Source organism: Homo sapiens, chromosome 3 (assembly GCF_000001405.40).
Source record: "Homo sapiens chromosome 3, GRCh38.p14 Primary Assembly".
NCBI classification, from domain to species: domain Eukaryota; kingdom Metazoa; phylum Chordata; class Mammalia; order Primates; family Hominidae; genus Homo; species Homo sapiens.
In genome coordinates, this window is record NC_000003.12 from 88,370,405 (window position 1) to 88,396,125 (window position 25,721).

A 25,721-nucleotide genomic window follows, 5' to 3' on the forward strand; every position below is an offset into this window, starting at 1 on the left:
CACAGAAGTAATTTTTGCGTAAGATCTCAATGACTTCTGTGCAAAGTTGTGTTTTTTTGTAGCTTTTCATGATAGTTTTTGTTATTCAGCATTCACACATGAGAACCCTCCCTTCCATGAAGGGACACTTCATGGCCTTCCCTGGCTCCATTTTTCTCCCTTCCTTCCTTTCTTTCTCTCTCTCTTTCTTTCTTTCTCTCTCTCTCTCTTTCTTTCTTTCTTTCTTTCTTTTCTCTCTCTCTTCTTTCTTTCTTCATTTTTTGAAAAAACACAAGTAAATCCATTTTGATTCTGCAACTTTCACATCTGTTATGGATTGAATGTTTGTGTCCCCCCAAATTTATATGTTAAAGCTCTAACCCCCAATGTGACTGTATTTGGAGATGGAACCAATTAGTCCCAAGGAACTAATTAAATTTAAATGAGGTTGCAAAAGTGGAGCCTTGATTTGATAAGATTATTTTCTTTATGAGAAGAGACACTGGAGAATTCTTGCTCTCTTTCTCCTTGCACGCACATAGAGAAAAGGCCAGGTGAGAACATAATGAGAAAGTAGCCCTCTGAAAGCCAGGAAGAGACACTAGATACTGAATCAGCCAGCACCTTCCTCTTTGACTTTTAGCTTTCAGAAATGAGAAAATAAATTTATGTTGTTTAAACCAACCACTCTATGGTATTTGGTTATGGCAGCCTGAGCAAATGGTCATGACAAGTTTGCAACAAGAAATTACTAGCCATAGAAATAAGAAATATGAAATAAAATGGAAAGTGTGATGCATATGCAGGAAGAAACCCATCCAGCAATGCAAACTGATTGCAAGTGGGTCAGAATGTCAAATTAACACAGACATCAAAGCAGCTATTATAAGTTTTCAATAAAGAAAAATACGTTCAAAGATAGAAGGGAAATGAGTTATTGCAGAGTAAACAGGGAATTTAATAGAGAAATGAAAACTAAAACTAAAATATAACCAAATGGAAATTTTAAAATTGAAGATTACCATAACTGAAAATAAAAATACCTTAGATGGGTTCAAAAGTAGATTGGAGATGGCAGAGAATAAGTTAGTTAACATGAACATAGTTCAATATCCAACACAAAGGGCAGAAATAAAAATAAAGAAAAATGAACAAAGCTTCCTCAGAGGCTGGTGAAAAAGTATCATCTGGTTCAACACATGCGTAATTGGAGTCAAAAAGGAACAAAAGAAAGAAAGGGACAGAAAAATATTTCCAGAGATGATGGCAGAAAACTTCTGATATTTGAAGACAAATATGAACTTATACCTACAGGAAGTTCAGTGTGTCCCAAATTGCAAAATAATGAAAACCACATCTACACATATTATAGTTAAAATGTTGAGAATCAAACATTAAATGGAATACATTGAAAGCAGCAAAGGAAAAATAAATCAATTACATACAGGGGACTATGATAAAATTATAAGCTGACTTCTTATCAGAAATAATAGAGGCCAGGAGGCATTAGAATGACATATTCAAAGTGCTTAAAGAACAACAATGACAAAAAGATTAACTGAGATTTCTATACCCAGCCAAGCTGTCTCTCAAAATGAGTTTCCAATAAACAAAAGTTGAGATAGTTTGTTGCACCAGTGAAAACAAGACCTTCAGGCTGAAAAGTAATCAGTCATAAAGGAAAGAACAAAAAGGGCCAGATATTATACATTATTGCCAATATATAAGTAGATATTTATAGCTATCTCTTAATTTTCAATTTTTTAAAAGATCTATGGCTATGTAAAGCCAAATTTATAACATTATATGGTTAAGTTTATAACACACATTGATGTATTAGGTTGGTGCAAAAGTAATTGTGTTTTTTGCCATTACTTTTATGCAAAAGTTTTGGCAATTACTTTTAATGGCAAAAACTGCAATTACCTTTGCACCAATCTAACATTATATATGAAAATGATAACACAAAGGACGAGGGCATTAAATGAAACTATATTGTTACAAGCTTCCTATATATCACCAAAAATGTCAATATTTAAATATATTGAAATAATTTAAAGATTAGTGTTAATATCCTAGAGCAATCATTAAAAAACGTAAAGAAATTTAGCTAATAATACACAAGAAAAGTTAAGTTATATGACAAAAAATTTGTTTAACCCAAAGAAGGGAGGAAGAAGGGAACAAAATACAAGTGAGGCAAGCAAATGATGAATAGCAAAATGGCAGAAATAAGTCCAGGCATATTGATTAATTACCTTAAATGTAAACAAACTTCAATCAATAGAGATTGTCACAATAGATAAAAAAAGCAAGACCCACATATATCTTGCCTACGAGAGATGTATTTTGTTTAATTTTTTATATTGCATTTTAAATATAAGTATGTTGAAAGTAAAAAAATAGAAAAACCATAATGTGCAAATGGTAAGCATATGAGAGCTGAAGTGGCTACAGTAACATCACATTAAATAGATTTAACACAAGGATTATTACTAGAGACAGAGGTGGATATTTCCTAATAAAAGTTTTGATACAACAGAAAGATATAACAATTATAAATGTGAATTCATCTACTAAGAGACCTGCAAAATACTTGAAGAAAAACTTGGATAGAACTACAAGAAATAATAGACAAATTAACAATTACAGCTGTAAATTATGTTTCTCTTCAGTAATTGATAGAACAAGTTTACAGAAATTCAGTAAAGATATAGAAAAATTAAACAATACTCTCAGATGATTTGACCTAATTGTTATTTATAAAATACTCTAGCCAGCAACAGTAGAATATATTTCTCTTCAGAAGAACATGGGACATTTAGCAAATTAGACTATATTCTGAGCAATAAAACACTGTATTAATACATTCAAAAGGATTGAACTTACCAAAAGTATATTATCTGACCACAGTGGAACCAGATTAAAAATTAATAGTAAAGACATATGGAAAATCACATGTGTTTGAAAGTCAACTAATAAACTCTAAAAATAATCAATGGATTAAAGAAGAAATAAAAGAAAATTCAAGAAATTTTGAAGTGAATGAAATTGAAATCACAAAATTTAAAATATCAAATTTTTTGGGATATAATAAAGTGGTGTTTAGAGAAAAATTTGTAACAATAAATTCTTCCCCCACAAAAGAAGAGAGATTGAAAGTCAAAGCTTCTGCTTTCATGGGCTGGAGAAAGAATAACAAATTAAATGTAATGAAAGTAAAAAAAAAAAAAAGGAAATAATGAAGTTAAGAGCAGAAATTACTGAAATAGAAATTTTAAATTTTTAGAAATGAATAAAATGGAGAAATGCAATAAAGCCAAAAGTTAATTATTTTCAAAAATAAAAAAACTTGATAACTTGACAGAGCAAGCAAAAATAAGAAAACACAGATTACCAATATAAAAAATAAAAGATGAGCTATCAGAATAAACAGATTCGAAAGATTAGAGACTCTTATGAACAGCTTTATGCTAATACATTACAAAAATTAATAAGATGAAATTTTTGAAAGATAAAAATGATTTGAGATAAAAGAGATAACCTAATAGTCCTGTATTAATAAATAGTGAATTATTGAAATTTGTAATTTAAATCCATTTTATCAAGGAACTCTAGGTATGTATGGCTTCTTTGGTAAATCCTATCAAATATTTAAGGAATAAACAATACCAATTCTATACAGATTCCTTTAGGAAAGGATCACTTAGCTGTTGGATGGAGAACAGATTACACACAAGCAAGGGTTGAAGCAGGAAGGCTGGTTAAGATCCTATTAAAATAGTGCACATTAAGTTGATGGTGAATTAAATTAAGGTTGTAGCAGTGAAATTGGCCATTGTGGTTTAACTAAGGACATATTTTGGAGGAAGAGCTGTATATTTCGGTGCGAGGCAGTAATGAAGAATTCTAGTTTGTATGTGTTGAATTCAAGATGCTTCTGAGATAATCAAGTGGAGTTGCCAGCTGGACGTTTGATGGAATGGTATTGTCTTTAGTGGAGAGTTCCAGGCTGAAGATATGGATTTGGGAGTCATCAACATACAAACAAATTTTACCAAGGAACTGAATGAGATCATCTAGGCAATAGGTGTAGATGGAAGAGTAAATACTGATATGGACACCTTCTTAAAAGTCTACCAGTATTTTTTCCCAATATATCCATTTTATTGTTTCTCTCTACATACATTTATTTGCTAATGAAAATTGTAAAAACAGCATATCAAAACGTACTTTTATTGCAATTGAAATTTTTGAAACCCAGAAAATTTAATTAATTATGCTACAGCCAAACTACCCAATATTTTCTTTACATTATTTCCTCACAAGTTACTTTGCTTTAAATTCTTGAGGTTAGAATTCATCTCACTGACTTTAGGCTTCTAAAACACATGGGAATACTTGGGATCCACTGTTGCTTCTTTGGGTCAAATAAAAAGTAGAGCTAAAGTATATAGAAGTTATTCAAATATATTCCAACTATACAGATTCCCAATGGATGACGACTGGTATCAGGGTAGGAAGGAAAAGATACGAGAAGAAAAAGACATCACAGAACTCATCATAGGTTATCAAAATTATCAGTATATAGTCTATACTATCATAGAGTAGCCTCCACAACCTCATGCATAAAATTACCGGCAAGAAAGAAAAGTAAAGGAATAAGGTTTAAGGCTAAGTCACCTCACTGTCATAATTCTCTATTCTAGTATTCTCAGAAGGATCTCATTTGTGATACACAAACTGCAGCCACATTTGAATGGTTCACTTATTGCTCTATTCTGAATGACTTTCTGTAAGCCCAGTGTCCGTTAGTTCTCTTTCAAACTGAGAAAATCTGTTCAATAAAAAGTATCTCAGTTTTACCATCCTTTTTTGAACAGATAACATGTCCTTACTACTCTCCTCTTATAAGGCAAGCCATCGCTGATCTCCCGGAAGATTTGTTCTCTTCTATCCTGTTGTTGGGTGAACCTTATGGTAGAAGGGAAGGGAATTTGGTACTAGGGTTGAGAGTCAGATTAAAAAGCTATATTAGTATTTTAGAGGAGAAGTTATGAGAGGCCTCTGGTTGTGAGCACTTGTGAAGACTCTGGGATCAATGTTGGGTTAAGATTTGTGATAGGTCTGTCAGTGATCTAGTCACAGCTCTAAGCATCTCCCTGGTTCTTTGGATCCCAGAGGAAAAGTGTTGATACCCCTTCAAATGTATGTAAAATAACCTGGAAATAACTCTATAGCCCAGAAAGGGCCTAAAAACCCAAACTACAGCAAACAGTGGGGAAAGGGAGCCTACTAGTATTTTAGAAGCTTACATGAACAAGAGAAGGAAGCAAATGATGTTACTCTATATTCAATATTCTTTATTTCTCAATAACTTTTCCAAAATTATTCTCACAAAAACTCAAAACTTAACTCCTGACCCACATATTCACTCAAGACACCATGCTCTCTTTTTCAACTGGACTGTGCAATGGCCACTCTGTCCCTTTCCTATCTCTCCAGGCTAAAATCAACCCCATTTTGTGTCATCCCCATTAGTTGTTACTTCCTCTTTCTGGGGAGTTCCTTCCGCTGACCTCCTTACATTGTGCTCAATCCTATTCAGATTTCAGCTTGTATTACCCAAACCCAGAGAGCCTTCCCTTCCCTCCCTGGCTGACCAAAATCTATTCTTTTCATCTTACTCTGTCCTATTGTATGATTTAATTTTCTCCAAAGCCATTTCATTATTTAAAATTATTTTTATCATTCATTGCCACATTATTTCCTCTTTTCCCCACTTTTCTATATTTCTAAATATTGGTGTGCTCTGTGATTTGACCTCAGTTTTCTTCTATTTTTTCATTGTACTCCTCTCCCACTCTAAAACATATTAATTATTCAAATCAATTTCCTGCCTTTCTTATTTATTTCCGTATAGTCAGCTCTAGAATAGTGCATATCTGGTACATTGTAGGCACTCAGCAAATATATTTTTTTTTTGAGTGAGGTGAATGAATACTGAGGACTTTTGATCTTAGTTCCTTAAAATGGCTAATTTCAGTCTTTAACTTGCTACAGATCTTCACCTATCTTCATCATTCTTTTCTTCTAAGAGAAAAATTCCCCTCCCACTCCAAGGCTGAGTTCTTCTCGTATTTCCTCCATGTATTCTTATTTCATTAGCTTCAAGATATAGCTCTTTGAATTATATTCTATCTTAGTTTCAGTTACTGTTTACATTCACTATTTTTTTTCAGCCTACAAATATATTCAAATAAAAAACAAACAAGATCTTTCCCTTGTTCCTGCCATTTTCTCATGCTATCATAGTTTCCCTCATTCTTTTGGTGGCTACACTTATTGAAAGAGCCTCAACATTTGACCTTTATGTTAAGCTCAAGCAGTGATTCTGGCATTTACCAAACTTTTTATTCTAAGGTTACCAGCAATTCCTAGTTATTAAACCCAATGACTTTTCTGAATTCTTATCCTCTTTAACCACTCTGCAGCACTCAATACTCTTGTTGGTCTTTTCTTTTTTGCAACTCTTTTGTAAGTTGGTTTCTATGATACAGTGTTCTGATTTGCCATCCACATCTCTGAATTCTCTAAATCTCAATCATTGTCTCAGTTTCCTCATTTTACCTACAAAAAGAAGGCGTTCCTTAAAAATCCCGTTCTCCACCCTCCTTCCAATGGCCAACTCACTTGATATCTTGGTTTTAACAATTAGCAATGGGTTGGTGATTTATAAATCTGTAGTTTGACTTTCTGCAGAGATCCAGACCCTTATTTCCACTGCTGAAGATCTTAACCTGAAGTCCTTAACCTGAAGTCCTTGGCATAACCTCAAAGTCAATATTTCTGAAATGAAACCCATCATCATTCTTCCCAAACTTCTCCTTCTCACTATATACTGGTGCCCCTTTACCTAGATTTGTGAACTTTGGTATTTTCTTTTATCTCTATCTTTTCTTTATTTTCATATTAAATTATTTGTTAAACCCTGTTTATTCTAGCTCTGTTACGTCTATAACATTTGTCTGCTTCTCTACATTTCTATCAGTACTGCTATGTTCAGACACAGTACTGTTGACCTATAAATGATTGAATCTGTATTACAATTGCTTTTTTTTTTCAGATTGTAATGTCTCCTTTCAACCATGTTGCATTCTGTTGATGGCTTAACTTTCTTAAAACACACTATTGATCATGTTGTAAATATTAATAGTAATAATAGTGAAAAATTATTGTTTACTGCATGCTAAGCACTCATTTAAGTACTTTATAATTAGCCCTCATACAAATCTTATAACACAGTCACTCTTAATATCTTCATTTGTGGAAGAGAAAACTGAAGAATAAAAAAGGTGTGTAAGTAATATTCCCAAGATCACACAGTTGGGCAGTGTTACATCTGGTATTTGATGATTTTAACCAACACACAGAACTGCATTGGTCATAAAACCTGAAAAGACTCTTTAGGTCTACACAGTGACCATATGTGACTTTTATTTAATTCACTCTTTTGTAATTGAAAAAAATTCAGCCTTGTTTAAGCAATATCAATGATATAACAGATTTTATGTGCTAATGAGATATGATTTTTCATTTTTCACATACCTCAAAACTACATATATAGCCATCAAACTAAAAAATGTTACCAGTTTATGACTTAAAATCATATTGCATACCATATTTCAAGACATGCTTGCCTGCAAAACAGTTATAATTGTTATGCTGCTATGCAATTGTTTTGTCATTCAGATTTATTAATGATGCAATTTTAACTTACATATGTAACTTTCCCCCACTTTTACCCTTTATTGTCTCATCAGTAAAAGTAAATAAATGAATAAATTATAGATGAGTAAATGCAGTTCCTCTTTCCTCTATATACTTCACTCCTTCTGGATTTTTTTTCAATTTTGTTTATGCTACCTCCTTTTGAATAGCATGAACTGAACTTCTGAATACATCAAAATTCTGTCTTTTCCACTCACGAAGACTCAACTCAGTTGTATATTGCTGTGACTTGATAGATTTCTATATTCTAAACCAGTGCTTTCCAGTAAAACTCTTCACAATGAAGAAAATGAACTGTTCAATACTGTAACTGGTGGCCACATGTGGTTATTGAGCACTTGAAATCTGGCTAGTGAGACTAAAGAATTAAACTTTTAGTGTAATTTAATTTCAATTAATTAAAATTTAAATTTAAATAGACACGTATGGCTAATGGCTTCTGTACTGAATAATACAGCTCTAAACTATCAATGAATACATTGGTATTGCTGAATGACCAACTTATTCTTAAAATTTATATTATGGTAGCATACACCTATCTTTTCTTTGTTACTGTTTATAATATTCTAAGGGAAAGAATTGGCATTTTATAATTTTTCTGTGTATCCTAATGCATCTTGCACATTTATCTTTGTTTAAAAGTAAACAATACAATAAATATGTGTTATGTAACTGAATGAATGGATGACCATCTGTTAACTTTGTTTGATTGTGTTAGTATTAGTGGTTTCAAAAGCTGCTCCATAATTTTTTTCAAGATAATAACAAACATAAAATAAATGCTTATCATAAAAACTTGCCCTCATCTTTGCAAATGACTATATGATACCTTAAGGTAAAATGCTTTCATTTCATTAATTCATTTATGTTTTGCTTGGCATTGCTAGACACGAAAATCATCTTTTTTTTTGTTAATGATCTTCGCTCCAAAGTCAATCTGACCACAGAGCTCTGGTTTTACTAGAGCTCAGTCAACAAACCCTGAACGTGTTAGCCTAGATTCACCATAGCTCTAATCAGCATTTTGCACATGGAAAGCTCCCCGTGTGGCACAGACCTTTGTGACATTTGTTTCTTTCTAATGGAACTGCCTGTTCCTCCCTCTGCTGGTTTCAGAATAAACGCCTTGTCAAAAGAAGAATTAGATTGTGACAGCTTATTTCTATGGTTAATTGAGGCGGTAGATATACTGGACATTTATCTAAGTGCAGAAGAGAAGATTAAGACATATTTTCTACAGGCATTCTCTGTTTTAGAGGAGGTCACTTTCTGGAGTCCTTTTAATATGCTTGTGCAATTAATAGTAGTGATAATTCTGCTTCATATCATAATGTCCTGAAAGTTCTTTCAAGCTGACAGATAAAATTTTATTTTTGTAGGGTCTGAATTATTTGAGTCTTCTTCAACTCCACCCTCTAGGTTTTCCCCCTTTAGTCCTGTGAATTAATATTGACTGAAAAATACAAAAGATAATGTACAAACCCACTCAGTTTAAAGAAAACAGGGGAAAAGGTCATATGTGAGATTACCTTAATTATTGCCCCTAAATTTGTTAGGGCAGGTCCTGGCATTGTTAGGCCAATCATGACAACATTTGATTTTTTGTGTATTAAAAGTTCTTCAGCATTTAGTTGCACTTGTTGTCATTGCTTTGTAGTGCAGGCTATTGTTTTTATTTTTCAGGAAGATTTTATTTTTTAACATGCTAAGGCTATCTCATGCAGATATCAAACAACTTCCGCAGAAGTGATTCTCGTCATCTAATTTAATGTTAGGTATCATTTATTATGGCCACTATATTAAACGTTATATTATATTTGTAAGATTCCATTTCAATCTGTAAAACATTTAAGTAAAACTAAAAATGTTGTAAATGTATAGAATATCAATTTGTGAAAAGGTTGACAAAAGCATACATGCTTTAAAAACTGTTAATGCAATTCTCCATTGTTATAAATGTGATAGGTATGAATTTTTATTGGGAAAAGAATTAATAGAAATAAATTATAAGGCTAAAAAACTATTTAAAAAAAAGCAAAAATAATTTTTACTTAGAAAAGGTAAATCACTCCATTTAGGCCAAACCACAAATACAGATAATAGGCCAGGATGACTAAAGTACCAATGTTGAAAGAAATCAAGTGTTTGCAATTTAAGAGTCAAAAGAACTAGCCAAAGAGAATATCAGATTATATCAATAAATATTAGTGGCTCACAAAAAGGATCTTATTTCAAGGGCACAAACTATGTTTTAATGTTTAATTTTCTTAAATATTATCTTAGATTATATTTAATATTTCTTAAATATTATATTTGATTATCTTAGAATATCATTTATTAAGATCACTAGATCGGTAGAAATTTTAGAAAATATTTATTTAAATAACACTAAAACCTATTCATAAAACTGTTATAGAAAAAACAGCTATTTCTAGATAGCACTATTTAGACATTAAGGCTATAGAATTATACTTTCGTTGACTGGAATTGCCCCATGTAAAACAGAGTAAAGTAGAATACTGACCTAAAATATGAGTCAGAATTAAGACAAGAAAGGAACATAATAACTATAAGAAACAGAAAAAAAAATAAGTGAAAATATTGTGTCAGAAAAAGAGAGTAAAGGGTGTAGACCAATTATCTAATGATAAAGTTTTTAGGAGGCAAATCATTCATAGATTTATTTTTATTTCTTTCACATGTTGATCTATCAAAACTAATATCTTCCAGCTAAGTGTTTAGTTTATTCCTGCCAAGGAGCCTAGATATTAGAGAGTTTGGGATGATGTATATTCTTTATACATGTGTAAACAGGGTGCCAGTCAAATTGGAGATTAAATGGGTTCTCCATGAAAGAGGTTACTTAAAACGCCAGGCTCTTGCTTATGTTTAGTGGAGAAAAAGCCCCTGAAGCAGGGAAAAACCTCAGTGGCTTGCACTTATGCCAAGTTAGGGCTGGGATCTGGTCCTCGTCCTGAGATTAGGGTGTGGCAGAAGGTTTGTTCATGAAGATTACCACTCTTAAATGTTCCTAGCCAAAAAATGTGTTCCTTGAGAGAAAAATAACATCTGTTTGTAAATAAAGACCTGAGGTCTTCTCAAAGGGCAGAGGACAATTAGTAACTTGGATATTCCTCCTTGAAACTGCAATTTGGAAAATCAAGCAGAATGATTCTCAATGGTATTGGTCAAAGCCCATAGACAGGGAGGGGCAATGAGGCTCCTGAAATAAAATTTCCTGTAGGAACGGAATAGTATGGGCTGGCTCTTTAGATTGAATATAAGGTACTAACTATTACTGTTACTGTTGGAGGTAGGTGGTGGTGAGGTCTTACTGGTTATAACAAAGCATGAGGCTATGGTGGGAAGGCATTCATGGCCTAGCCTTGATGCTGTTATGTGGGAAACAGCTGCTGGAATAAGTGAGTGGTTCTCAAGAGGGTGTATCTTCAGACTCCAAGCATGGAGACCCACTGTGTCTACCTTGGCAGATAAAATAAACATTTACAAGATTGAGAAAAGCAATTTCAGCAGCGACACAATTTAACGCTGAGAGATAATGACAGTAAAGGAAGACCAGGTGTGAGATTCCTATAAGATTGGTTTCAGAATAGAGCAAGAGGAACTGTTTGGAAGTGATGGATATGTTTATGGCATTAATTGTCATGATGGTTTCATGGGTATATGCTGATCTAAAAATGTATCAAGTTATAGACATTAAATATCCACACCTTTTCATGTGTCAATCATACATCAATAAACTGTTTTTCTAAAAAAGAACTTAGAAGATAACTTGTTCTGACCAGGAGATCAACTATGAGTTCTACTCATTCCAAGGAAAGTGACCACAGGCAACCACTTTTACTGTAGGCGTATTCTTTGCTCTCTCCCAATCTGATTCTTCACCCAATTTTCCTGCAGCATGAAGAGTTTCTCTATATCCTTTTCAATCTAACTTGTTCAGTTAGCCACTACTTGGTGTAGGATATTTCTTCCGAATATGATTCTTAGACTAAGCCATCTCAGAGTTGCCTTTTTACAAAGAATGGCTACCTTTGAGATAGAAAGTGATCCTTGGTACAATCCTCTATAGTCAGGACATCAGTATTGAGGAAATGAAGGGCAGATAGTCCCAATAAATCTGTGACATGAGTCTGTGATACAGTCAGAAGAGTGACACTGCCTCCTCCCTAACAGAATGGGGAGGGCTAGGCAGAAGCTGCCAATAGATGGGGCTTAATTAAGACCTGTGGAGACCTCAAGCACTGAGAATATTATGGTACTTCTGAATGAGCAATCTAAATATATTAATCTGAAAAATACATATACAAAATTCCAAAGGAGTTCTGATTTTTCTTATGAAGGATTTTTGTTTTCTTATTTTTTGCTGTTGTGGTTTCTATCTTGCAGGCCTCCTTAGCAGCTTCTTTTTCCATCAAGAAAATATTTCTGGACAAAAACAAACCCATAGCTGGTTGGAAGCAGGGCATTGGGCCCAGTGTTAAAGATTTGAATAAGAAAGATGCAGAAGATATTAATCATAGGCTTATCAATGCCCCTAGGAGATCTGTCCCCCTGATTGAAGCAACTCTGGCCTTTGGAAGTTCATACCCAAGAAGTATGATATCAATCTTATTTTTAAATAAAGTAAAAATTTGATTGCTGACTTGGTTCACTTGTGCACGATGCAAATCTAACCTTTTTGGGTAGATTATTATTTAGCTCTGAGCTTCAATTTTCTATTAGAGTGAATTGTTTGAATGAAAGTACTGGATAAGATCTGGAAGCCAGTTTCTAATCTCACATTTCCTACTGGTTAACTCTGTGGCATTGTAAAACAGTTTACACTGTAGGCCAACAAACTAATCTCAGGTTTCTTCTCCTTCTCCTTTTCTTCCTCCTCCCCTCTCTTCCCTCTACTTATTTTTTTTTGTCTTTGTCTTCATCTTCTTCTTCTCTTTTGGAGGTCCTGTAGAAGATTAAAAATAGGGCTCCCAAAGGCCTTTTCTGGGCCTACCCCTTAACTCTCAAATCCAATGGGCACTAACAAATTTCTTAAAATAAAAAATATAAGAGATTATGCAGCATTGTAGAAACATTATGGACATTGGAGTTGGGCAGACATAATCTCTAATCTAAAATCCATCGTTCACTGTTTGTGAAATGTTAGGCAATTTTATATCTTTCTGAGGTCAGAATTTTTAATCTATAAAATGATGATGACAATGCACACTTCACAGTGATGTGAGTATTAATAAAGGTAAAATACATAAAATACATAGCACAATGTTTGGTGCAGAGTCAAGTCTTCATTATTTTTAGCTCTCTTTCCAGATGGATACCCAGGGAGCCACTTTACTGTGTACTCATCAGCATATGGCCTAAGTGGCGTTTTTTGTGCTTTGTTAGTCATAGGCTAGATCCTGGGAATTATTCATCATTTTGAATAGCCTATGGACACCTGTTTCTTTTCTTTCTTTTTTTTTTTTTTTTTTTTTTTGGGACGGAGTCTTGCTCTGTCACGCAGGCTTGAGTGTAGAGCGCAGTGGCGCGATCTCAGCTCACTGCAACCTCCGCCTCCCCGGTTCATGCCATTCTCCTGCTTCAGCCTCCAGAGTAGCTGGGACTACAGGTGCCCGCCACCACGCCCCGCTAATTTTTTTGTATTTTTAGTAGAGACAGGGTTCACCGTGTTAGCCAGGATGGTCTCGATCTCCTGACCTTGTGATCTGCCTGCCTCGGCCTCCCAAAATGCTGGGATTACAGGCATAAGCCACTGCGCCGGGCTTCTTCTTATTCTTTAGTTCTGCTTTTGACCCTGCCGATTGGTATAGAATATAGAATATAATAACTTTTTCTAATTAGTCTCTATATAGTAGTGCATTCATTAATAAATTTTGCACAGAAACATTTTCCAGAGTGGCTACCTTGTGTAGGATCTACTTTGGATAGGGTATACTATGGTAAATAAGATAGATAAGTCCCTGCCCCCATGAAAATTACTTTGCACAGCAAACCCGGAAACAAATACATAAAACAAGATAAACATTGTGAAAAATGCTAAGAAAGAAAGAGTATATGCATCTAGAATTACTGAAAGTAGAAAAGGGCCACTTTTTGATTGGGTGGTAAGGGACTGACTGACTTTCTTTCTCCCTCTCTCTCTCTCCTTTCTTTTTCTGAAACCCAAAATTAAAAAAAAAACAAAAAAACAAAAAACACTAGCCATCTGAAGAGCCAGCGAAAGAGACTTGCCAGCCATGGGGATGCAAGTAAAAGGCTCTGAGGCTGGAAAGAACATGGCAGGAGTGAGGAGAAAAAAGGAAGCTGGTGCGGCTGTTGTATAGTGACATGCAATAGAAGGGAAGAGTGGTGCATTACGGTATGAAAAGATCCTGGTAGGAGCCATTTTTCCCCAAAGAGCAATAGGGACTCCTGAAACCACTTCATACAAGGAAGTGATATTACTCAACTTATGTTTTAAAAGTGAACAATTTTTGTGGCTATAGAAAATGGCCTAGAGTGAGAGAAGAATGGAAGGAGGGAGTCAAGATAGAGACATGCTATTTTTCAGGTGGAAGATGTTGATAGCTTAACTAAGACAGAGATAATAGAAACAAGAGAAGTGGGCAGATTGGTATATATTTGGGGGTAGAATTGAAACAGCAGCACAATAGACTGGTTGAAGGCAGTGAGGGAAATGAAGGAAATGAGAAAATAGTTTGTCAATTTCTGAGATGACAAAGATTGGGGAGACATGAGAAGAGGGATCAAAAATTATTTTTGAGATGACATATGTTGGAGGAAACTAACCTAAGACATCCAAGTTGGAGATATGAAGTGGGCAGTTAGATATAGAAGTTTAGAACTGGGGAAAGATGTTAGATGGAGATGAAGATTTGGAAATAGCATAAAGATATTCCATAGCATTAAATCACCTTGGGAGAGAGTATAAGACAAAGAGAAAAAGTGACTCAAGGTAGAATCCTGATGCAATCCAGTAACTTCACATTGGTCGCAGGCCGAATAGTTAGCAAAGGAGACTGAAAATGAAAGAGCGGTGAGGCGGGAGGAAAACTGGGCGTGTGTAGTGATATGGAAGGTGAGAGAGGAGAGGGTTTCAGGAAGGAGGTGTGGTGAGCTAATGCTGCTGAGTCATTATGTAAGAATAAAACAAAGAGATTCAATTGAATTTTGCAAACATTTAGGTCTTTTGTGACCTTGAAATGAGGAATGTAAGTTATGCTGGGCAGGTGGAAACCAGATTGGAAGAAGTAGAAGAGTAGTTGGAGTAAGTGAAACTGAAGATGACAGTAGTAAACAACTATGAAATAACTTTTTTTTTGTTTTTCTTCTTTTCTAAATGATTTGAAATGAGATAGTACCTGGAAGATAATGTAGGTTCAAAAATGTTTATTTTTAAATAGATACTACTAGAACATATTTATAGGTTTATTGGGAAAAAATAAAAAGAAAGGGAGAAATTGGTAAAGCAAGCAAGGGAAATGCAGCTGATGGAATGAAATCCTCAAGAAGATGAGAGCCGTTGAAATCTGTGGCTTTAGCTGACTTACCTTTAGAGAGTCATGGAATGTCTATTCCATTCTAGCAGGAAAAATACAAGATGAATTTATAAGGTGATTTTTTTAAGACTTGAAGGTGAAAGGATGAGGGAATTATCTTTTATAGCTTCTACTTTCTCAAAAAACAATGGGTGAGAAGTCACATAAATATAAAAGTCAATAGGAAACAGGAAGGTGAAAGTGAACAAGAAACATGAAGACTCTGCAAGTCTGAGGTCATTTGGGTTTGTTTGAAGATAGTGGAAAATATGTGAAATATAAGCCAGAGTAAGAAAATTGATTCATTTGGGAGATGTAAAACTGAGAAATATGGCAGTCCATTTGTGAAATATTTTTGCAGTAATACTCAATTTCTTTTCTATGCTATTTTTTTTTTCTTTTTTTGAGATGGAGTTTCACTCTTATTGCCCAGGCTGGACTGCAATGGCGTGATCTCGGTTTACTGCAACCTCCATCTCCCAGGTTCAAGCGATTCTCCCGCCTCAGTCTCCCAAGTTGCTGGGATTACAGGCACCCGCCACCATGCCCAGCTAATTTTTTGTATTTTTAGTAGAGACAGGGTTTCACCATGTTGGCCGGGCCAGTCTCAAACACCTGACCTCAGGTGATCCACCTGCCTCGGCCTCTCAAAATGCTGGGATTACCGGCGTGAGCCAGCGTACCCAGCCGCAATACTCAATTTCTCATAAAGAAACCACGGAGAAAGCAGATGATTTGGTTAAGCCAGCTTTGAGGTTTGGTCAGGAAAGTATGCCAGAGAGACAACAAAATAATTGAGGCCATTTTCAGGGAGTGACTATAATGATCAAACTTGTTCTCTAAATTAGGAAAGCAGAGTGTAAATATAGAAAGTGGGGAAGAACAGAGTACCAGAATTGAGGCAAATTGGTGGGGTTAATCGTACGCATGTTGGATGTTATTGGGGGGATACAACTGATAGTGGAATGGAAGAAAAACATGTGGTGGTTAGTGAACGAAATGTTAAATGGAGAGTTTTAATACAGTATAGTTATTGGTAATGACAAAGACCAGAGTTTGACAACGTAAGTGGGTAGCTGATATGGGGAAGAAGAAAAAGATGGTCATAAGTGAGGAAGTCAAGGAGCTGAGAGATCAGTTGTTAGATGGGCAATTCACATGAATAAAGATGTCACCACTAATAAAGTCATGCATTGAGATGGATGGGAGATCTGGGATGGAAATGCAGTGAAACAAAAGTGAAATCTTCCACCAATAAACAGTGGATGACAAGTCACATGGAGATACAAGTCAACAGGAAACATGAAGATGAAAGTGAATAGGAAACATGGACTCTATTCTCAATCTAGTCATTTTATACTTTTGTTGTTAATTTCAGCATTGCAACAACCACTATCCTTTAAATATACCTGACTGCAAACACATGCTTTTTTTTTTTTTTTTTGAGATGCAGTCTTGCTCTGTCACCAGGCTGGAGTGCAGTTTCAGGATCTTGGCTCATTGCAGCCTCCGCCTCCTGGGTTCAAGTGATTCTCCTGCCTCAGCCCCCCGAGTAGCTAAGATTACTGGGATTACAGGCATGTGCCACCACACCCAGCTAATTTTTGTATTTTTCGTAGAGATGGGGTTTCACCATGTTGGCCCGGATGGTCTCTGTCTCTTGACCTCGTGATCCACCCACCTCAGACTCCCAAAATGCTGGGATTACAGGCATGAGCTACTGTGCCCGGCCAAACACATGTTTTTACTAATCTATCTTCCTTACAGTTATGTGCTTGCATGATTGCCTTTAACTTTTATACCATATTTTTTATGGTAGTGTGTTACAATTTTGTATGTAGCTCATCATTACCATAATAATCTATGGAATGGTATTGGTATGTGAATTTTATTTCTTTTCCTTTTCTTCCACCTGGAACTGCCTTTAAAAATATTTTAAGTATATTTCTAGCATATATCAAAAATAATATGTTTCCAGATAAACTGTAAACATACAATTATTATTTAAAGATAGAATCTTGCTCTTTTGCCCAGGCTAGAGTGCAGCGGCATGATCACAGCTCACTGCAGCCTTGAACTCCTGAGCCCAAGGGATCCTTCTGTCTCAGCCTCCTAATAGCCAGGACTACAGGTTCATGACACCACACCCAACTAATTTTAAAAATTTGTCTGTAGAGACGTGGTCTTGCTGTGTTGCCCAGGTTGATTTCTAACTCTTGGCCTCAAATGATCCTCCTGCCTCAGCCTCCCAAAGTGCTGGGAAATAAACATTATTATAATCCTCCTTTCCCATAGTGTTTCCCCAAATTTGGCTGCTTAATTAAGTCTTTCCTGCTTCTTTGTGCACAGAACTCTTTATTTTTTCTTTCTGATGGCAGTTCTATTATTTGACTTCCTCTGTTGTCATTTCTATTTTAGTTTCTAACAATTCCATGACGTCTTTGCTGATTACTATGTTTCATATAAATTTATGATTAAATCATACACACAAAAACACTCACATACTATTATTGTCTTACATGAAACAGTGGTCTGTTTAATACCTGTAAAAATATATAACTCTTCTAGTCATTTTTGGTGCTAGGCCAATTATGTTAATTAGACTATATTGAGCAAAGTACATATTTCCAGTTTCTGCACATATATTATTCAATTTGATCAAGCTTCAATATATAAAAGCTTTTTTGCAAAATGTAGTGTCAAAATGTTACAGTCTTTGGTCAGAATCTTGGCAGATTAAGTCAATTAAAAAGGTCAAAATGAGGGTTTTTTATTTTACAGGAAGTGCAAATGTACAGAATCTATTATCTAATTAAATGCAAGTCTGTAATTCAATGTTAGGATAGAGAATATAAATGCATCCAAGTCAGGAAGTGAAAAAAGTTGGTTTATTAACAGTAGTCAGATATAAGATTGGCTGTCCAGTTCTTTGCCATCTTATTCATCCTCCCTTTGCTGTTCTGGAAAACCTTCATATCCCTGTATAGATACAAACATTTCCTAGTTAGTCAAGCTGTCTGCTTCAATTTTTGGTTATTTGAACATCTGTCGAATTAAGGCTGCCTGTTTAGCCACAATGAGGTCTTCCATGGAAGTTATAGCTACTGTCTATATTAGATTATTTCCACCTTCTGCTTGGTTTAATACCAAATAATAGCACCAATTGACTCATTCATTTAACAAATATTCAGTAATTATCTATTGTCTCCTTTGTGCTGCTTTAGAAAATGAGGATATAACAATGAACCAGCAGACCAAAAACCTCCACAAAAACCGTAAACCCCAAACCACCCAAAAGCCGTGCCCTCATTTGCTTATATTTTACTGCGAGGAGATACACAATGAAATAAATAAGTTATATAACTATATTAGATGATAATTAGTGTTCCATAGAACAATAAGAGAGCACCAAATAGGAAAATTAGGAGTAATTGGGTAAAGCTACAATTTAAAATAGGGGGTTCAGGAAGGAGCTCAATGAGACAGTAACATTTAATTTAAAAAAAAAAACTCTGCCAATGTGAGAAAATGAGGACGTTAGTTATTGGCTTGATGAGGTATTACAATGCTTCATCAGGAGGAAGATTATCCCTGGAAGAAGGAGCAGCAGGTGTAAAAGCCCTAAGGCTGGACCTTGTCTGGCTGTGCTTGAGGAACCGCTGGAAAGCTGATGTGGATGGAGAGAAGTGAGGCAGGATGAGAGCAGAGGAAAATGAGGTTGGAGACTTCAGGGGTGCCAGCTCATGGAGGGACTTATAGGCCATCGTAAGGATGCTGGCTTTTCTCCTTGTTGATATAGGAAATGAGTAAGCAGAGAAATAAGAATATCTGACATAGTTTTAAAAAAGACACTCTGCTGAGAATAGACTGCATGGAGGTTCAGGGTAGAAGCAAGGAGTACAGTTGGCATAGATGAAATAATCCAGGTTGGAGCTTCTCGTGGCTTGCACTAGTGTATTGGGGGCAAAGATGGTAAGGAGAGGTTGGATTCTGAATGTATTTTAAGGACAGAGCCAACAGTGGCAATGTATTACAAAAATACACATTGGAGTGCATGGTGGTGGAAGTAAAGAGACTAAAAACCCTGTACTTTTTTTTTTTTTTTAATTGGGGAGGCATTTTTTTTCTCCTAAGCAGCACAAGTGTTCTATAAAAGTAATGGCTGGGTTCTGTTCATTGGAAAGAAACCATGTTAGTATACTTCCTTTCTTCCAAGAAAATCACCAGAATAGCTTGTGTGAAACAAGTACCCTCACAATGGTCTGGAGAACAGAATGTAAAAACGGCTCGTCAGAATCAGAGAATAGGCTTAGCTCTGAAGGTGGACGGGACTTTAGAGCCCCTTCATCTATGCCATGGACACTAGAAGCTTGAAAAGCTTCTTGGGGAGGAGGGTGGTTTGTGTCTGTGGAGGATGGTGTGATAAATTTGGATAAGGATAAGCTCAAAATTGTTACAATAGACCTGATACACTTGAATGGAATCAAATGAGGCTGGCAAACAGACCAAAAGTCTCCCTTACAGAAAACCGTCCATGTAGCTTTTTTGGATTAAGCATTAAGCATTTTGGTAAAGGTTAAACATCAGGTCATGAGATTTTAAAGATAAAAGCTCTATCCAACCCAGGATAAAGGTACTGCTGGAACATTCTCTGGCATAGTGACACTGACCTGGAACTGTTGAGAAAATGATGGCATGTATAGGAAACAAAAGAGTTAGTCATGAAGCTTTGTCATACCTCATTAAGCCGATAACTCAACGTCACATCCAATGAGAGGTCTTCTCTGAGGGATGTACCAGGCACAAATATTTGATGAGAAAAAATATAGCAAAAGAATAAATAACTAAATCGAGTGGGCATTTCTTAATTTCACTCTAATTCTCTGATTAAAAGTTGTATGCTTTGTAGGTACATTAATTCTATTAGGTGTGAAGGTTGCACTTATTTCATGGAGTATTAACTGAGGAGTTCTTGAGCAGTCTGAAATAATTAGTGCAGCAATATAAGTATCCAAATATTTTTGCCATGTATTATTTTAAGGTCTTGGAAAATTTAGGTTTCTGCATCATGTATTTTGCTTTTGTTAGTGTTGCATATGTAGTATACTGAAGAAATCTGATGACTATATTTATGATGGTATTAATACAATTATTTTATTTTATAGATCCTACCTAAAAGATAAAAATTAAAAACATTGGCGCTTATTTAAAAGGAAATCTTCCCATATGATTAAGAATTTGTGTTCTAGAATCAAACTTCCCTGTGGTCACTTTCAGCTATTTTCTAGCAGTGTGATTGGGGCAAATTACTTAGTCTTTGTATGCTCAGTTTCTGCTTAGGCAAAATGAGGACAATAATACTTAATAGGCAGCTGCAAAGACTAAGTGAAGAGCCTATGTTTATGTCTATTTCTGTGATGTGTAGATATGTACATATAGATATAGAGATTTGTAGATACCCTGATATTAATACCTAATTCATGATAAGAACTAAAAATGTTAGCTTTTGCCATTCTTGAGGATAGTTTTTCAAACTATTATTTTTGGTTTTTTTGCACTGTTGAATTATACTGTTTACTCATTTATTCCTGCAACAAATATTAACAACCTACTCTGTGCTACACAACGTGCTGGGTATTAGGCATATAGCTGCAACCTAAATGGACATAATACCTTTATTCATAGATATTACAATAGAAAACATAAAAGTAGTTAGAATATTTCAAAAGGAAATGCAAACCTGCAAAGTGAAATAAGTTTCTAAACGTGTATATACCAAGGCAAATCTAAGCTGCAATAGTTATTTTGTTTCATCCTTTGTTGTTCTTAAAGTTATATTTAAGATATAACTTCATGATTATGGTCATAGCCAGATGAAGAGTGAAAAAAGAAAACATACTCTAGGCAGAAGGTACAGCAGGGGCCAAGAACCAGAGGCAAGAAAAATAATAATTTGTTTGAGAAACTAATAAACTCATCATCTTTGGAGTGGAAGCAGTAAAGGGGAACTAACTGCATTTGATGTTGTAGAGGTAGAAAGTCATGAGACTGTGTACAATCTGGTAAGCCTTGTTGGAGATCATAGCTTGGGAAGTCATTGTAATAATTTATGGCAAGAGTAACATGATCATATATGCATTTCAGGAAAGATGACTCTGAAATTAGATAATGAGGTGGAGGAAGGCAGCTGAGTGGTTGCAGTGAGAATAGTGAGGAGGTGATTGCAGAAGTTTGTTAAAGAAATGACGGTGCATTGATGAGCGCTTTAATGGAAGAAAATAGGTAGAACCAAGAACTTTAGGATGTAGAATCAAAAGAATTTGTAGTTAGTTGGATGTGAGAAGGAGTGAAAACCAGGGAATAGCTAGGAACATGCCCCAGATTTCTGGATGGATCACCAGAGGCTGGGGTGCCATTTTAACAAATAGAAAACACAGAAAAGGAGTAGGTAGTACAGGGCAAACTGAAGCATAAAAGATAATACATATTGTTTCCAACTGGAATTTGTGAATGTGTTAGAATCAAGTAGGCAGTTGGATATGTGGTTCAGAATTCAGGAGAGAATTCAGGAGATATATGTGGTCTGGATGTAGGTAAATTTTTACACACCCCGAAATAGCTATTAAAGCCCAATGAAAGGAATTAGATATCTATAGGGATAGAGAATAGCTAGAGAAGACAAGGAGATGTAGGAGAAAAGTTGAGAAATTCATTGATGGAAAAGAAAGAACAAGCAAAGAAAACTAAGAAGGAATGGCCAGAGAAATAGTCAAAAAGCTAAGAGAATATGTGACATGAAAATTTAGTAAAGAGAGAGTTCCAAAAAGGAGGAAGCAGCCAGCAGTTCAAATTCTTTCAAAAATTAAAGTAAGGTACAATAAACACATTGCAATTGAATTTTGGAGTGGGTAAGACATTAGTGACTTTGATAAAAGCAGTTTCCCTGTATTTATGTAAGTTGAAACAAGGTTGGAATAAACTGGAAATAAAAAATGTGATGGACTGGAAAAAAGAGCAATAAACACATTACGTAAGTTTGGGTGGAGAGAAGAGAAATAGGATAGTTAACTGGGCTATTGGGTTGAGGACAGATGCTTTTGTTTTATTTAATTTTATTAAAATAGGGCAATATGAACACACTTTAAAGCAGGTGGGATGGAGGTTAAAAATGCAGTTGTGTTAGTTGAGAGATAGATAATTAATAGCACAAGGTTTAGGGAAGGGTGAAACAACTGGAATCTATCTGGAGAATAAAGGGGAGGATTGGCCTTGAAAGGGATAAAAGGGATTTTGCCCTTTGTATCAGGAGGAAAGGAGGAAGAATGGGTATAGCTGTATGTGACATGATATCTTCTGTAGTGACAATCGAAGGACATTTCTCATATATCTGCAGATAGTGTGAGGTAAGTTGAAGGATTTAAGTTTAAGCAGGTAAGAGAAGGTTTGATATAGTCATTATGTGGAATATGGAAGAAAGCATTTCAGGTAAACTTACTCAGTCTTGAGATATTTTAAAACTGCCCAACTGAAGACTGTTACATTTTTTGATGTCAACTTGTGTAATAGTTAGATATTTCTCAACCTAGACTATAAGTACGGAGAAAGTGCTTAGTGTATTCACCTAGAGATAGGGATTTGGCATGTGTGCATGGGAAAAGTAATTTTAGGAATGGAAGGAGAGTAGTAGATAATTTGTTGAATCAAAATGGGGGAATATAAACAGACGTGAAGTTGATATAAATAAATAATATAGACAGAGTGGATCGATATAGATAAATGGATGTGTACATACACATACACATATTTATGTACTTAGGGTAATGGTGCCATAGATTCAACAATATTTTAAAGACAAAGTGTAAGTGCAATAGCAGAGTGACATATACAGAATTTTAGGAGATTGTGGTCAAACAGTGAAATTTCTGAAGCAAGTTTTATGTGATTGCTTCGTTTACTTTATGGTTAGACAAGTGTGTAGTTAAAATAAAATGGTGGAGAATGTCACTGGAGACGTAGAATTTGAGATGTAAAATTCAAAATGTAGAATTTAAAGCTGATAGTGCAGTTTGACCAGAAAGGAACAATGTGGTCTGGGTGCCAAGGTTATTAGTGAATAAGAAAAAATGACCAAGAGACTGGCAGATAGTACAGAGGATGAGGAGGGTTGGAGAGCTGAAATGACAGGCCACAGATGAGCAAGGGTAATGGTCTGAAAGCAGCGCTAGGGGACAATGATGACAAAGACCCAATTCTACATAATTTCGTGTGGTGTGAGGGGCAATGTGTGGCCTTTGCTTGAGAGAAATGTGAGGGATATGGTGTTCTCAGTAGATAAGTAGTTTACATTTAAAGTTAGAAGGTGTAGAGAGCATTCAGTAAAAATTTAACAACATAAACTGTGTATAAAGACAAGTGCAGACACTTATTTATCTGGGATATTGGGTACATATAATGATATGTGTATGTTCACCTTTGTAGCAAACTGCTAAGCTATTTTCCAAAGTGAATGTACCATATTCCATTACTAAATACATTTATGAAAGTTTAATTTTATCCATATCATCACCAATATTTGGTGTTTTTAAGTTTTAGCAATGGATGGGGGTGTCTCAGTTTTAATTTGCATTTCTTTTCTAAAAAATTTTTGTTTTTTGAGATGCAGTTTTGCTCTTGTTGCCCAGACTGGAGTGCAATGGCATGATCTCAGTTCACTGCAACCTCTGCCTCCTGGGTTCAAGTGATTATCCTGCCTCAGCCTCCCGAGTAGCTGGGATTACAGGCATCCGCCACCACGGCCAGCGAATTTTTATATTTTTTAGTAGAAACGGGGTTTCACCATTTTGGCTAGGCTGGTCTCGAACTCTTGACCTTAGGTGATCCACCCACCTTGGCCTCCCAAAGCACTGGGATTACAGGCCTGAGCCAGCACACACAGCCTTAATTTGCATTTCTAAGATGGCTAATGATATTGTGCACTGCTTCACCCATTTATTGACTATATATTTGCCTTTCGTGAAAACTTTAAGTCCTTTGTCTGGAGTGTTGATTGGATTATTTTCTTATTGAGTTGTAGTTGTTGTTTATATATTCTGGATACAAGCCCTTTGTTCTAAAAGGAAACAACAGACACTGGGGTCTACTTGAGAGAGGAGAGGGTGGGAGGAGGGAGAGGAGCAGCAAAGACTGCAATTGAGTACTGGGCTTAACATCTGGGTGATAATCTACAAACTACAAACCCCGGTGACACATGTTTACCTATATAGTAAACCTTCAAATGTACCCTCAAACCTAAAATAAAAGTTAAAAAAGTCCTTTGTTCTGTTTACGCATATGTGCTCATTTGTGTGCATGTGTGTTTAAGTATACACACTCATACTCATATGCAGACGTATATACACATACATGTAAAATTTTCTCCTAGTTTTTGTTAATGGTGTAATTTGAAGAGTAGAAGTTTTAGATTTTTATGAATTCCAATTATCAATTTTTATGGTGTTTCCTAAGACATCTTTGTTTATCCAATAATCATGAAAAATTTCTCCTTTTTTTCTAAAAGTTTATAGTGTTAGCATTACACTTAATTCTATGATCCATTTCAGGTAATTTTTGAGAATGATATGAAATAAGGGTCAAATTTAGTGTTTTCTGTAATGATTTCCAGTTACTCCAACACCATTTGGTGAAAACATTATCTTTCATTTTGTTTAATGACCTTACTACATTTGTGAACATAAACTGATCTTACCTGTACATCTAATTTAGAACTCTCTCTTCTCAGCCAGTGTTCTAGATACACTTTCAGATAACATAAATTTGCTTTTTCTTTTTCAAAATTATTTCAGCTATTTAAAATCTTTTGCATTTTTATATTAATGATAAAATCAGCTTATACATTTCTACAAAGAAAAGCTTGCTGGAATTGTAATTGGGATTGAACTGAAACTGCAGAAAAATTTGGGAAGAATCAACATTTTAACAATACTGAGTCTACCAATAAACTGAAATGGTGTATAGCTCGAATTATTTATTTCTTTTTGTCTCATAAATTTTCTTTGAGTTTTCAATGTACATGTCTTTCATATTTTGTTAAGTATACTCCTGTTTCACATTTTTATGTTATTCAAGACAGTATTGTTTACAATTTTTATTTTATAATCATTTATTACAATTAATTACTTTAATTGGTGGCTATATTGAACTAATATTTTTTGAGTATCTGCTGTATGTAGTTGCTTGTTTTATCCTGGAGTTACCATGATTAGTAAAATCATAGGCCTTCTCTGACTATGAGTTTACGATCTAGGAGAAGAAACAGACATTGATAAAAGAGTCACATATTAAGTGCAATAAAAGAGGACTACCTACTTCTTTTTTTTTTTTTTTTTTTTG

At 35.0% G+C, this 25,721-nt stretch overlaps 1 protein-coding gene across 6 annotated transcripts in view; it reads left to right on the forward strand.

Annotated features, from left to right (window-relative positions):
* Positions 1-25,721, forward strand: part of CSNK2A2IP (casein kinase 2 subunit alpha' interacting protein) — a 129,139-nt gene that overhangs the window by 31,949 nt on the left and 71,469 nt on the right. For 2 of the 6 annotated variants that reach the window (XM_047447366.1, XM_047447367.1), the window contains one exon: positions 12,181-12,429. The exons of the other annotated variants lie outside the window; for them this stretch is intronic. In XM_047447366.1, the coding sequence (XP_047303322.1) occupies positions 12,181-12,429 (249 nt within the window). Of the gene's footprint in view, positions 1-12,180; positions 12,430-25,721 lie in introns of those variants that run through there. 6 annotated transcript variants of the gene reach the window in all.